The sequence below is a fragment of the Homo sapiens genome, chromosome 2, assembly GCF_000001405.40.
Source record: "Homo sapiens chromosome 2, GRCh38.p14 Primary Assembly".
Taxonomy (NCBI): domain Eukaryota; kingdom Metazoa; phylum Chordata; class Mammalia; order Primates; family Hominidae; genus Homo; species Homo sapiens.
The window spans coordinates 90,056,121-90,072,137 of record NC_000002.12 but is presented as its reverse complement, the minus strand read 5'-3'; the positions used below and the strand labels follow the sequence as shown (position 1 = coordinate 90,072,137).

The 16,017-nt window shown below is 38.1% G+C and overlaps 1 gene segment (V, D, J or C) and 1 further gene, besides 2 other annotated features; both read right to left on the bottom strand.

The window, feature by feature from the left end:
• IGK (immunoglobulin kappa locus) overlaps window positions 1-16,017 on the bottom strand; it is a 1,378,008-nt gene that overhangs the window by 163,231 nt on the left and 1,198,760 nt on the right.
• On the bottom strand, window positions 1,898-2,450 carry IGKV6D-41 (immunoglobulin kappa variable 6D-41 (non-functional)). The segment is given in 2 exon segments: window positions 1,898-2,195; window positions 2,402-2,450. Coding segments are annotated over 2 exon segments (347 nt in total).
• Window positions 2,185-2,195: a sequence feature (IGKV6D-41 leader sequence).
• Window positions 2,402-2,450: a sequence feature (IGKV6D-41 leader sequence).

Here is a 16,017-nt window from a genome sequence, read left to right as displayed (position 1 = left end):
AAATGATGGCATTTACTTGTTCCTGAAAAATATGATATTAAGTGAAAATTCATTAAATTCAAAAATATGTCTGTCTTTCTTATTGGAAAAATATGTGATACATTCCCCTCAACTAGAGAGACTTAGCTACTTTTACAGTTGGAAAAGATTGATTGGACACAAATCTATAAAAACACATTTATAGGAGTAACAAGCATCATTTTGAAAATCTGCTTTGCTTGTAAAATGTCCAGTATGATGAACTGTACACAACACAGAAGGAAGAAAGGTCCTCACGGAGGATGGGGCCTGATAGAGAGGGTGGGGGAGTCAGTTCTTTGAAGCATGGGGAGGGTCTAATAAGTGACCTCAGGCAGGTGTCCAATACCAGGACCAGATATTTCTAATTACAACTTTATTTTCCTTAAGGTTTCTGCATATACATAGAATAAGTGGAATACAGGTTGAATGCAACATGCTTCAGAACACATACAAACAGCCCACACACATAAAAACTAAAGAATCTTACAGAATGTTGTCTCTTCCTCAGCCTTTCTTGACCTTGGTTTTAACCAACCACGGCACAAAATTTAAGTTTTTTTCCAGAGGATGTTCTTCAACTTGGAACATCTTGTGGAGAAAGTTGGTGGCAGTGTCTGAAACACATCATTTCTTACAATGCATTTTTTCACTTCTTTGGAATAAAATATCTGTGTTATTAAAAAAGTTTGATAGAAAATTGATGTAACTTTATGTGACCAAATACGACGAAAATCTTTAACAAAAATGTCACTAAGTCTGAATTCTCAACGACTGCATTGTATTCCAAAGTTATTTTTAAATAAATGAATAAATACACAGGAAACAAAGTCAAAAAAATGAATTTAGTTTCTCTTGGTATTAAAAGATGTTAGCAATAAGATACTGGTCTTTTAATCAAGAATAATGAAAATTTAAAAAATACATTTTTTCAAACACAATTTGGATAATAGAGGTGGAAAAACAGGAGACAGACAATGCTTTTGATGTGCAGAAAAGAAAATTCCAAGGATCATGGGTGATCTCCCTGTGTTTCATATGTCAAACAAGATATAAAATCAAATGTCCATTTTGTTTTTACATCTTACTTGAGTTCCTGAAGCTACTTTCTCTTTGTAGTTTTTGCTTTGGTACACTCAGATTTTGGTGAAGCAGTTCTTATGGAGGAATTAAGAGTTGCTGATTTCAACCTTCTTTGGCTTGTAGCCCTGTCCTGCTTCTAAGACTGGCAACAAAAGACGCTGATTCCTTTTTTATTCCAGGTAAATATTGTTTCTGGGATAGTCCCCATTTCCAAAGCTATAGCTAGATATTTATAACCCTGTTCTTGATGGACCAGTTTCATGTTTCAAAACCCAAATATTCAGTGAAAGTGAACCTTAAATGTTAATCTGATTTAACAAATGTCAGACTTCACAGAGCCGCTTTGGAAATAGGAACAATGTCTCATTCCTTTGAACCCACAATGACTGAAACCTGAGTCCATGGCTCTTCTGTCAAAAGAGCTCCAGGCCATCACCTGATTGTTTCCTAATCTTTACCCTTTAAAGTGATTTTGTCATAAATGAATTACTGTAGCCCTGAAGAATAATCCACAGTTTTTACCAACTTGTAAAGGACAGTTTCTGTACACCTATGGAAAGAAACAGGAGAAGTAATCTTCAACAACTCTTCTCCTAGTTTGAAAGTTACTGTGGGTAAAGATGAAAGTGTGAGGCACTGACTCTTGGGTGTCAGCTCTGCTGAATGGGCCATATGTGATGGTATTTGGTAAATTATTTCCCCAACTGCACCTGCAAGGATCATAAAAACGGGGTATTGTTCAGTTTCTCTGTTCCGCCAGGCTGAGCTAATTTTTGTTTTGGGTTGTAGCACAGTGTGAGGGTGCTTATTGCCCTGCTGACAGTAATATGTTGCAGCATCTTCAGCTTCCAGGCTACTGATGGTAAAGGTGAAATCTGTCCCAGATCCACTGCCACTGAACCTCGAGGGGACCCCTGAGATGGACTGGGAAGCATACTTGATGAGGAGCTTTGGGGCTTGATCTGGTTTCTGCTGGTACCAGTATAAGTAGTTGCCAATGCCTTCACTGGCCTGGCAGGTGATGGTGACTTTCTCCCCTGGAGTCACAGAGAGGAAAGCTGGAGACTGTGTCATCACAACATCACCCCTGGAGGCTGAAACCATACAGCAAACATTAGCACAATATAAGCATCTGCTTAATGAAATCACCACTAATCTAGTAGCACAAGATGAAAGAATACGCATTACTTAAAAAAAAATCACATTTAAAAACAAGCCAAGTTCCATATGGTGCCAGGTTCCTAATTAAGAAAATTAATGGTTCAAAGAATTAGTTTTAGCTTTTTCTAAATATTCTCACCTGGAACCCAGAGGAGCAGAAGCCGCAGGAATTGCAACGGGGACACCATCTCAGTGTTTTGACTTCAGTTTTGCTGAAGACACATCTAGGAGAAAAAGCCTCTTATAAGATACTGAGAGGCAGGACCACTTCAGATGTGGGAGGAAGGTTACATGCAAATTACGGGAATGTCCTGTTGTTTTAAATACACAGACATCACTGTTGTCAGGAGAGCGCCCTCCCCGCCCCTTCGGGGAATGTGAGAGGCGCCCTCTGCTGGCACCTGCAGATGAGCGCCGCTGAGGCCCCGGCAGGGCTTGACCAGACCCAGGGCCCAGCCTCAGAGTGAAGGAAGAGTCCATCGCAGTCTCTGGGAGGCTCTGCAGTCATCTGGGGTGAACAGCAGCTCACATCCTCAGTCTCGGCACAGGGCTATCTTAACTTTCCTGACAACACATTCACAATGAGGCTGAAGAAACTTTGATCCTGTGGACGCTTCACAAAGCATCACTCCATACAACACGATATTGATGTCATCGTGGTAACTAGATAGGATAAGCAGAAAATAATAAGGACTCTGGATTTTCAGTGAAAGCACATGAAGACCAGAGTGTGGGATTCAACCCTACAAAAGTTAAGGACCTGTCACATTGGAGAAGGTATCAGGGATTTAGTGAAGGAACATGAGTAGCGTTGGCTCATCCCCTTCAAGGTAAGGACAAATAATTGTACTTTGCAGCTCCAATCACTGAGAATGCAGCACAGTGTTGGCAAGGCCTGCTTAGAGTATTGACATAACAAATCCCACACTTGGGTCTACTCCACCACCGCACTTATAAGCTAACTTGGAAGGCTGCTTTTTGGAGTGGGCTCAGAAAAAGAGAAGATTTTGAGGAAGGTTTTGGGCTTTGACACAAGTAGCTCTGTCACTTGAGCCATGTGATCCAGAACATTGTTCGGTGCTAGATGCATCTGCATTAGATGGGAATACTTCATGAACTCTCTTGCAAACTCCAATAAAACTCACGGCATAAATCCCTGGGATTTTAGAGAAGACCAAGCAATGACCAGATAACAAATAAAAAATTTCTTGTTCAAAATGCAGAATATCACTACATAATGGTAGGTAGTCCCATGAGGCATTTAAAAAGTATGTGACTGAACTGCCCCTCATAAGTGGAGGAGGCCAGTCTCACCAATTTTTAGGGTCAGGTGAGGCTCAGCACCATTCAATATTAGGATGAATATTAGGTACTTTTGGGGTTTGGTTCAAGCAGGTTCAGAGGCTGTGCTTCATTTACATGAACAGGTGTTCCTGTTCCTCCTACCATTTTTCTCTCTTACTCTAACACCTTTGCATCAGCTCACTCCAGTGACCTCATGAGTTTTCTCAATCAGCTAATAGCAAGGGGGGAAACAAAAAATGCAAACAAATAAAAGAAGAAAACCAAAACAACACTAAGAAAATCTAGGCTTTTTGAATGGGTTAGCATCATATATTTGTGCAAGTAAAAGTAGGCTGCTCCCACATTTTGGCCACAATCATGGGTGGCTGTGAGGTGTTACCTTGAGTTAGCAGATATTTGAGGACAGCATGTAGTGTTCAACTTAGTGTGGAGAGAGACATGTACTGAGTCAAGTATATGCATGAATTAGTGATAGCTGGTTGGCCATAGTCTTTGATAAAGAAAATTGGAAGATCACAGAGAAGAAGCTCTAGAGGAGAGGTATGTGGATGCACTCATATGAATAAGAAATTACATGTGCAAAATTTTATTTATCTCTGCAAAAAGCAGAGAATATCTTCCACAGTAAGACACCAAACAACCAATCATACTGGAAGGCTCATCCACTTGTAAGCAGATTAACGGAACTCAGTCTTTTCTCTTAACTTCCACAATATTTGCATAATAGAGTCTGTAATGAAGTAGCCATCATAGCCTGAACAGGGCTATGAATGAGTAAAATGACATGAACCATGCCTCACAACAACCATCACCACTTGTGTTGATCCCACTGTTGCCACTTCTGGGTATCCAACTTCTCAGCAGCAGAGACAAATATCTTCAACAAGTGGGTGGTTATTTGGGATATCAGATCACTGTCCCCTGGAGGTGACTGTGATGCATCCTAACTAGGATCCTCCTGTATTCTAGATGTATGTTTACCTTTCCTGCCCATAGACAATTGGCTATCTCAGTGCTCTGAGAGCATTTTTTGTATTAATATGGGAATATTTCAGAACCATGTTCCTACATTGTGGGGAAAGAAACAAAATAATAGCCACGTGATTATAGCATCCATTGGTTCTACCAAATATATCACGCAAAGAAATCCACAAGGGTATAATATTCTGCAGATTTTAGATGCTCTCCCTCAAGGTGTTCTGAATCTTTAAATCAATGACCATAGTAGAATGAAGTAATGGTTCAGGAAGCCAAGGGCCAGGAGTACGAGCAGACTCTTTAGTCATCCTACACAGGAACCCAGCTGGCGGACATGTGTGTCCAGTAATGCAATTTTAGGCCCTGTTGGCCACAGACATCTACTCCTGGATATCCGGGAGTATGTGCTTCTACTTGGGACTACTGTAGATAATCCTGAAGCTAAACCTCAAGCTGTGGTAAAGCAGGGTTCCTCATGCCAGTATACAAGAAGGCAACCAAACATACCTATTTCAGCAAATAGTAAAACTATCATGAAAAGATCGTTTTCTGCTACATTTTTGGTTAGAGGAGGAATATATCTGGGAATATGTCTGGATTGAAGAACACACACCATAATTAGATGATAATTAATCCTCAACTAATGTAAAGTAAAATTACAAATAATTAAAATAAGGTAGGAAAAGGAAAATATTTCTAAGTGGCTCCATTGCTCCAGCTCTTTCAGGAGAAGTGCCACTATAGCAAAAACCTTCAAGGCTTAAAAAATGCATGGAAATTTTTTAGTTTTGTGTCTTACAATATACTTCCCTCAGCAACATGTATCATGTGTGTTCATTTTCAGGTGTTCATTCACACCTGAAAGCTATGAATCACCCTTTTCAAGGTAATTCTAGCCACATAGTAGAATCAAATGGGAATATTTTAAAAGTATTGCTGCCTGCTCTTATCCTAGCCTAGTTGGCTAGAAATACTTGACTGGAGTTCAGGCACCCGCATGTTTAAAAATCTTCCCAGAATATTTATAGATGCAAGTAGGATAGAAAACCTTTTATCTAATTGGCTCTTTGCCTCTGTAGTCCAGCAGCCACAGCATTTTCATGAACTGGGAGCTTGTTAGAACATTCAAAATATCACGTCCGGGACTATAACACAACATCGAAAAGGTCCATATATCAATCAAATTGCAGTTTTTATACCAAAAATTAAGAAAATCTCTACTTGAATGGGAAAGGAAAACTAGTAGCTATTTAGCCCTTATATGACAGATATGTTAAAATTATCTTAAAAGGATTTTAAAGCAGCCATCATAAAAATGCATCAATGAACAATTGCAAAAAAAGCTTGAGACAAATGAAATAATGGCATCAAGAATGAAATATGAAATTTTATAAAAGAAAAATGGAAATTTAAGAATTGAAAGATACAATCACTGTATGAGCAGCTCAGTGTATGGCCTAATAGCAGAAAAGAGTAGACACAGGAAAGTGATAATAGATAATAGATAATAATTATCTACTAGTAATTGGGTAATTACTATTATCCAATCTAAACAACAGTGGGAAAATAGGCCAAAAGGAAATGGATGTAGACACAAGATAAAAAGAAATCTATGGTAAGGCATATCCTAGTCAAACTTCTAAAAACTAAACACAAAGAAAATCTTTAAAGGCAGAATTTTTAAAAAACTACTTGTAAACTTTAGGGGAAAAATGATTTGAATGGCAGAGAATTCCTTCTCAGAAACTATGAAGGTTAGAAGGAAATAACACCATTTCAAGTAATGAAAGAAAAGACCTGCCAACATAGAATTCTATTTCCACGACAGCTGCTCCAAGATGGCTGACTAGTCACAGCCAGGAGGAAGAGCTTGCACCAAGGGACTGGGACATTAGAAAGACTGGTGCACTTCTAGCAGATCTTCAGAGGGAAGGCACTGAGAATAGATGAAGGGAAGACGAAGATGCTGGGCTGAAGGGGGAGGAAGCTGGGAACACTGTGTGGGGCTACCATGTACCAGGACACATTCCTGGCTCCCAGTGACTCCTGTGATAGGGATGAGTTGAACCAACAAAGAGCAACTTAGGTGTCTGGAATCCCTTGAACACCAAAGACACTTGATTTGTCAGGGAGAGCTACTTAGAGAAATGATAGGGACAGAATTCCAGCCAGCACAGAGCCCAGAGTGTTTGGTGCAGGAGTGTCTGTAGTGGAATATGGCCAGGGACACTCATCCCCCTAGGCTCAACTTGCTCCCACAGGAGACTTTAGTCCTAGGGGAACTGTATGACATAAACTCTGCAGAGTGATCTTGTCCATGAAACAGGGCCAATATGATCTGACTGTCCCTTGGGCTGCTACTGTCTCCCGGGGCCACAGCCTTACCATTCCTGCTTGCATTGCAGCCCCTAGGTACATCCTGGGGGCCCACATCATAGCTCCTGCACTGGCAGATTGCATCTGACAGGGAAAATGCTCCAGCAGAGTGGCTCCCATGGACATATACCAGGCCTCCAGTGTTATTCCACCACTGCAGCATCCCTTGTGCACAGACTCCCCTGTGCCACTTTGTCTGTGCTGACACTGTTAGCTGGCACAAAAAAAGGCATAGTGAAAAGTGAACACACCCCCACCTTGAGTGGCCACCACTGCCCACGTGAACATGCACAGAGTCTGCATACAGTCCTGTGCCTACCAATTCCCCACCCCTGTGTTAATACACCACCAGCTCAAACGTGTGTACAGTCACTGGCAGGCCCCACTCCCCCTATGAGTCATGCTGCCACTGTCACTGCTGAAAATGCTTGCATGGAAGCTGGCACCCCAGCACCCACTAGCACCCTGCCACAGCTGATGAGTGCACACCTGTGGCTGCCATTGCTGCTGACACATACAAACAAGGATGGATCCCACTGCCACCACCCTATGAACTGCTTTGGCTGGCACCACCCACAGAAGTGTTGTGACCAGCGGTCCAAGAGCACCTTGGCCCCTCCAGTGCATCAGGTTCTTAACCTTGAGGAGCCAGAGAACAAAGGTGGGTACCAATACCTGTCCCCAAGGGTTAGAGCATGCAGTCCAAGAGTCCTGAGCTGTGCCTTGGCTCCATAAAATCTTCCAGAAATGAAGCCAATTGACTGAACCCAGCTTATAACACAATCAAACCTTCAAGGTTATCAAATAGAATAAAAGAAAAAAAAAACAAGAACCAAATCAAAGGACAGCCACTTCAAAGACTGAAAGCCCACAAAGATGAGAAGGAACTAGCACAAGAACTCTTAAATCTCAAAAAGACAGAGTGCCTTCTTTTCTTCAAGTGCCAGACTAGTTCTCCAGCAAGGGGTTCTTAACTGGGCCAAGATTGCTGAAATAAAAGAAACAGAATTAAGAATATAAATAAGAACAAAGATCATTGAAATTCAGGAGATTGTTGAAACCTACCTAAGGAAGCTAAAAATCACAATAAATTGATACAGGAACTGACAGACAAAATAGTCAGTATTTTGGAAAAGAATATAACTTACCAGATAGAGCTAAAAACACAATACAAGAGTTTCATAATGAAATCACATGTGTTAACAGCAGAATAGGCCAAGCTGAGGCAAAATCTCAGAGCTCGAAGACTGGCTTTCTGCAATAAGATAGGCAGACAAAAATTTTAAAAAAAGAATAAAAAAATGAACAAAACCTTCAAGAAATATCTATTACTCATTGGCATTTCTGAAAAGGATAGGGGAGAATGGAAGAAATCTGGAAAACATATTTCAGGACATCATCCATGAGAGCTTTCCCAATTTAGCTAGAGAGGCCAACATTCAAATTCAGGAAATGCAGAGAACCATAACAAAATACTTCACAAGATCATCCCCAAGACACATAATCTTCAATTCTCAAAGGTTAAAATGAAAGAAAAAAAATGTTAAAGGCAGCTAGAGAGAAAAAACAGATCACCTACAAAGGGAAGCCATCAGACTAACAGAAGACCTCTCAGCAGAAGAGACTGGGGGCCTATATTTAACATTCTTAAAGAAAATAAATTCCAACTAAGAATTTCATATTTGGACAAACTAAGCTTCGGAAGCAAAGGAGAAATAAGATCCTTTTCAGACAAGCAAATGCTCAGGAAATTTGTTACCACCAGACCTGCCTAACACAAGCTTCTGGAAGAAGCACTAAATATGGAAATGAAACACTGTTATCAGCCACTATAAAAACACACTGAAGTACACAGACCAGTGACATTATAAAGCAACCACACAAACAAGTTGGCAAAATAACAGGCTAACAGCATGATGGTGGTATCAAATCTAACATATCAATACTAACCTTGAATGTCAACAGGCTAAACGCCCCACTTAAAAGACACAGGGTGGCAAGCTGGATAAAGAAGCAAGACCAAATGTTATGCTGCCTTAAGGAGACCCATCTCACATGCAATGAAGCCCATGGACTCATATAAAGGGATGGAGAAAAATCTACCAAGCAAATGGAAAACAGAAAAAAAACAGGATTTTAATTCTAATTTCAGATGAAACAGACTTTAAGTCAACAAAAATCAAAAAGACAAAGAAGGGCATTACATAACAGTAAAGGGTTCAATTCACCAAGAAGATCTAGTTACTCTAAATCTATATGCTGCCAGCTCAAGATCACCTAGATTCATAAAGAAAGTTCTTAGACACTTTCAAGGAGACTTAGATTCCCACACAATAATAGTGGGAGATTTCAACACCCCACTGACAGTATTATACAGATTATAATCTGTATAATTAATTTTCTGAGGCAGAAAATTAACAAAGATATTCAGGACTTGGACTCAACCCTGGATCAAATGGACCTTATAGAAATCTGCAGAACTCTTCACCCCAAAACAACAGAATATATATATTCTCATCACCACATGGCACATATGCTAAAATTGACCGCACAATCGGACATACATCAATATTCAGCAAGTGCAAAAGAACCAAAATCATACCAACCTCTCTCTTGGACCACAGAAAAATGAATGTAGAATTCAAGACTAAGAAAATAACTCAAAACCATGGAAATTAAACAACATGCTCCTGAATGACTTGGGTAAATAATGAAGTTAAGGCAGAAATCAAAACGTTCTTTGAAATGAATGAGAACAAAGATACAATATACCAGAATCTCTGGGACACAGGTTAGGCAGTGTTAAGAGGGAAATTTATAGCACTAAATGCCCACATCAGAAAGTTATACCTCAGATTAACAGCCTAACATCACAACTAAAAGAACTAGAGAAGCAAGGGAAAACCAATTCCAAATCTAGCAGAAAACAAGAAATAACCAAAATCAGAGTTGAACTGAAGTAGATAAGACACACAAAAAAATTCAAAAGATCAATGAAGCCAGTGCCTGTTTTTATTTTGAAAAAGCTAATGAGATAAATAGACCACTAGCTAGACTAATAAAGAAGAAAAGAGTGAGTATCCAAATACATAAAATTAGAAGTGACAAAAGGACATTATCACTGACCCCACAGAAATACAACTAACCATCAGAGACTACTATGAACACCTCTATGCACAATAACTAGAAAATCTAGAAGAAATAGATAAATTCCTGGGTGCATACACCCTCCCAAGACTGAACCAGAAAGAAATTGAGTCCCTGAAGTGAGCAAAAATGAGCTTGTAATTGAATCAGTAATAAATAGCCTACTAACCAAAAAAATCCCAGGTCCAAATGGATTCACAACTGAATTCTATCAGATGTACAAAGAAGAGCTGTTACCATTCCTACTAAAGGTATTCCAAAAAAGTGAAGAGGAAAGGCTGGGTTTGGTCACTCATGCCTGTAATTCCAGCACTTTGGGAGTCCGAGGTGGGTGAATCACCTGAGGTCAGGAGTTCGAGACCAGCCTGGCCAACATGGTAAAACCCCGTCTGTACTAAAAACAGAAAAATTAGGCTGGCATGGTGGCATGTGCCTGTAATCTCAGCTACATGGGAGGCTGGGGCTGGACAATTGCTTGAACCCGGGAGGTGGGGCTTGCAGTGAGCCGAGATCACATCACTGCACTCCAGCCTGGGCAACAGAGTAAGACTCTGTCTCAAAAAAAAAAAATATGTATATATATATATATATATATATATATATATATATATATATGAGGAGGGACTCCTCCCTAACTCATTCTATGAGGCCAGCATCATACCAAAACCTGGCAGAGATGCAACAACAACTTCAAGCCAATATGGTTGATGAATATCGATGTAAAAATCCTCAGCAAAATACTAGCAAATCAAATCCAGCAACATATCAAAGAGCTAATCTACCATGATCAAGAGACTTTATCCACAGGATATAAGTTTGGTTCAACATATGCAAATAAATAAATATAATTCATCACACAAACAGAACTAAGCACAGAAATGGCTTGATCATCTCAATAGATGCGGAAAAGACATTTGATAAAATTTAACATCCCTTTATGTTAAAAACTCTCAACAAACTAGATATTGAAGGAACATACCTCAAAATAATAAGAGACATTTAGAACGAAGCCATAGCCAGCATCACACTGAGTGGGCAAAAGTTAGAAGCTTTCCCCTTGAAAACTGTAACAAGACAATGATGCCCTCTCTCCACTAATCCTAACAGCATGGTGTTAGAAGTACTGACCAGAGCAATCAGGCAAAAGAAGGAAATAAAAGGCACCCAAACAGGAAGAGAGGAAGTCAAACTATCCTTGCTGCATATGACATGATTTCCTTTTTTTTTTGAGACAGAATCTTGCTCTGTCACCCAGGCTGGAGTGTCGCAGTATAATCTCTGCTCACTGCAACCTCCACCTCATGGAGTCAAATGATCCTCCATCCTCAGCCTCCTGAGTAGCTGGGATTACAGGTATGCACCACCATGCTCAGCTAACTTTTGTAGTTTTACTAGAGATGGAGTTTCACCACGTTGACCAGGCTGGTCTCGAACTCCTGATCTCAAGTGATCCACCCACCTTGGCCTCCCAAGGTGCTGGGATTACAGGCACTAGCCACTGCGCCTGGCCTCACATGAATATATCTCTAGAGAACCCCATAGTCTCAGCCCAAAAGCTACTTAAGCTGACAAACAACTTCAGCCAAGTTCCAGGATACAAACTCAATGTACAAAAATTACTAATATTTCTGTGCTCCAAGAAGAGCCAAGCTGAGAGCCAAATCAGTAATGCAATAACATTCAAAATTGCCACAAAGAGAAAGAAAATACCTAGGAATGCAGCTAGCCCAAGAGGTGAAAGATCTCTATAAAGAGGACTATAAAACATTGCTCAAAGAAATCAGAAATGACACAATTAAATGGAAAAACATTCCATGTTCATAGACAGGAAGAATGAATTTCGTTATAATGACCATATTGCCAAAAGCAATTTATATATTCAATGCTATTATCATTAAAGTACCATTGTGATTATCTACAAACTAGAAAAAAACTGTTTTAAAATTTATATGGAACCAAAAAAGAGCCCAAATAGTCAAAGCAATTGTAAACAAAAAGCACAAAGCTGGAGGCATTACACTGCCTGACTTCAGACTATACTACAAGGCTACAGTAACCAAGACAGCATGGTACTGGTACAAAAACAGATACATAGATCAATGGAACAGAATAGAGAACCTGCAAATAAGACTGCATACCTACAACTATCTGATCTTTGACAAATTTGACAAAAGCAAGCAATGGAGAAAGGATTCCCTATTCAAGAAATTGTGCTGGGATAACTGGGTAGCCATATGCAGAAGATTGAAACTGGACCCCTTCCTTACACCATATACAAAAATTAACTAACGATGGATTACAGACTTAAATGTAAAACCCAAAAACTCTAAAAATCCTGGAAGACAACCTAGGCAATACCATTCAGGACATAGACATGGGCAAATATTTCATTACAAAGACACCAAAAGCTATTGCAACAGAAGCAAAGATTGACAAATGGGATTTAATTAAACTAAAGATCTTCTGCACAGCCAAAGATACTATCAGCAGAATAAACAGACAACCTATAGAAAGGGAGAAAATGTTTGCAAACTCTGCATCTGACAACAGTTTAATATCCAGCATCTATAAAGAACTTAAACAAATTTACAAGAAAAAAATAGCTCCATTAAAAAGTGGGCAGAGGACATGAACAGATACTTTTCAAAAGACTTACAAGTGGCCAACACTTATATGGAAAAAAGTTCAATATCACTGATTGTTAGAGAAATGCAAATCAAAACCACAACGAGATATCATCTCACACCAGTTAGAACTGGTATTACCAAAATGTCAAAAAATAAATGCTGGAGAGGATGTGGAGAAAAACGAATGCTTATATACTCTTGGTGGGAGTATAAATTAGTTCAACCATTGTGGAAGACAGTGTGGCAATTCCTCAAAGAGCTAAAGACAGAACTACCATTAGACCCAGCAATCTCATTACCGTGTATGTACCCAAAGGAATATAAATTGTTCTATTATGAAGACATATGCACGTGAATGTTCATTTCAGCACTATTCGCAGTAGCAGACATGGAGTCAACCTAAATGTCCATCAGTGACAGACTGGATAAAGTAATGTGATTATATACAGGTCAGTTTTGCCTTTAATTTGTTGCTCATTATTGTGAGCCTTAACATACTTCTTTGTGAACTTGCCACTGTTTCAATATAATATTGTAATCTTTATTTCAGAGTTTATTGCAAACATTTATGGTTAAGTATTTGATATATTTTATAGAGTTTACTTCCTTGTTGCTTATTGAAATTTGATTTTATAATTGTATTAAACCAATTTAAATATATTTAAATTCAAACATAGAAATAAAAAATTGAAGTGTTGATATGTCTAACAAAAAGCCAATGCACAAATTACCTTAAAAGATTAATTAAATGTCTGAATCACTAATTTAATAATATTTTCATGTTTAAAATGTGTCAAATATATTTTTGAGTCCTAGATATGTGAAGGTTTTGTGCAATGTACTGTAATATCTGCTAAGACACACTATTCTTTTCTTATCAGGTGAATTCATATTTGAACTGCAAGTTAATTTCTTGAACTGCAAGAAAAGAGGCACCTAGGAACATATTTGAAAATGCGTAATTTTAAAGCAGCTAAAATTATTTATTAATTAATAATTATTTTCTGAGTTTACATATTAGACAAAAAATGCTACTGAGAAGATATCACTGGTTTTTGCTCTGTAACAGAATTAGTTATATCTCGAATATGTTGCCACTCACCTTTCCTAGGCACATAGGAGAAATCAACAAATCATTGTCTTTTTTTACTGAAAGAGGAGGACCACCAAAATCTGTCTTGACCACAGCTCTAGAAGGTACCTTACTAAACACTGTATCATCCTTGCCCTATTAAGTAAGTGCTTGCTAAATTGCATTCTTTTTGTGCTTTGAATTTTCAATAAATACATTCTGAGAAAATAATACACCGATTGGAATGCTTGACTATTCAAAATTTCAGGTATATACTCCATTATTTTATTGGTCTTTCTCTTATGATCCAGGCAGCACAGGATCAGGTCTTCTCTAGAACTCACTGTTGTATTTTTATGCCAAGAGCTTCAGTAGACAATCAGCAAATGGGCTTGCAGTTGGCAAAAATAGTTACATAGAGCTGATGATTTCTCATAGAGACGAGGGTGTTAATAGGAAAATATTTCTTTACTTATTTTTTCTTGGTGAATCAATAATAAACAGAGAACTTATTTTCGGAAATAAATTCAGAAAGTCAAGTATCTAAATCTGGTAGGGATGCCCATAGAATTTTTATAAGGAACATATATAATTTTATTTCTAAAAGTCAATTTAATGTTATTAGCTAGTACACGATTCAAAGGACAATTTAAAAATCAGGTAACTGTAGTAAAGGCAAATACATACTTTTGAATGAATAAATAAATTTAGAAAAGTCAATAAATATAAAAACCATGTGCAAAAAGATCATACCAGCAACAAACAAATTGGAGATGGAATTGTGAAATATGTGATCTGCCCACCTGCCAAAGTGCTGGGATTACAGACTTTAGCCACTGCGCCCGGCATTTTTTTTTTTTTTTTTTTTTTTAAGACAGTCTCTATTGCCCAGGCTGGAGTGCAATGGCACAATCTCAGCTCACTGCAACCTCCGTCTCTCGGGTTCAAGCTCTTCTCGTGCCTCAGCCTCCTGAGTAGCTGGGATTACAGGTGTACACCACCACGACTGGCTAATTTTTGTATTTTTAGTAGAGGCAGGATTTCACCATGTTGGCCAGGTGGGTCTTAAACTCCTGGCCTCATGTCATTCGCCTGCCTCATCTGCCCAAAGTATGGGGATTATTGGTGTGAGCCACTGCGGCGGGCCTAAGATGTGAAGTCTTGATACTGTACAAAACATTATTAAAATGTTAAAGAAGACCTCTAGATTGTGGTTTTGGTTTACTATCCAAACAATTATACCATCTACAAATAATAACTATTCGTTTTCTTTATTTCCAGTACTCATGTATTTTATTTCTTTTTCTTGCCCTTTATACTAGTAAGAGGTCCAGTACAGTATTATCTAGGAATGATGATACTTTACATCTTTTAAAAATATCTAATTCCAAAATGAAGAAAAACAATTTTTCAGCATTTAATGTGATTGTGTGTGTGTGTGTGTGTGTGTGTGTCTGTCTGTCTCTCTGTCTGCCTGTGTATTCTCTAAGAGGTAAGGAAGGTATTTTTCCATTTCTAATTTTCTAGGACATTTTTACATAAACAGGGTCTAAATTTTGTCCAGTGCTTCTTTCTATACCAATTGAGACGACCATATACCTTTTTTCTTCTTTAACTATGTCAAATGTGGTAATTATATTGATCAAATCTTTTAAATCCTTATTATGTTATTTTCTGCTTTTCTATCACCTCTTGAGCATAAAGTCTCCCACCATAACATGGAGTTGACTTTTTCTTTATTTAATCAATTTTTTATTTATATACTTTTAAGTTATATTTTGGGTCTATATAGATTTAGTATTTTAATGATTTCCTAATAGATTGACCCACTTATCATTATGAAATGTCCCCTTTTCTCCTTCGCCTTAAAGTATAAGTCAGGTTTCGTCAATTCAGTTTTTGCATGATATGTACTTTCCGTTTTTTAATTTTCAAAGTCATTTTATGATATTATTGCAGTGTGTATTTTATAAGCAGCATAAACCTTTCATTTTAATCTTGTTTAATAATTTAAAAATTTTACTTAGAGAAATTTGTCTGTTTATGATGTCTAAATTATTGGTAGTTAGAGTTAAATCTACCATCCTTTTTTTTTCAGATTTCCTGCTTTCTTGCTTTCCTTTGGATTAGACATTTTATTATATTTTTCCTTGCATTAACTTGTTAAACATACAATCATTTATTATACAGCAGCTATCCTCAACTTATTACTTCCTAGTACCAAATATTAATTTACCACTTCCTAAAATA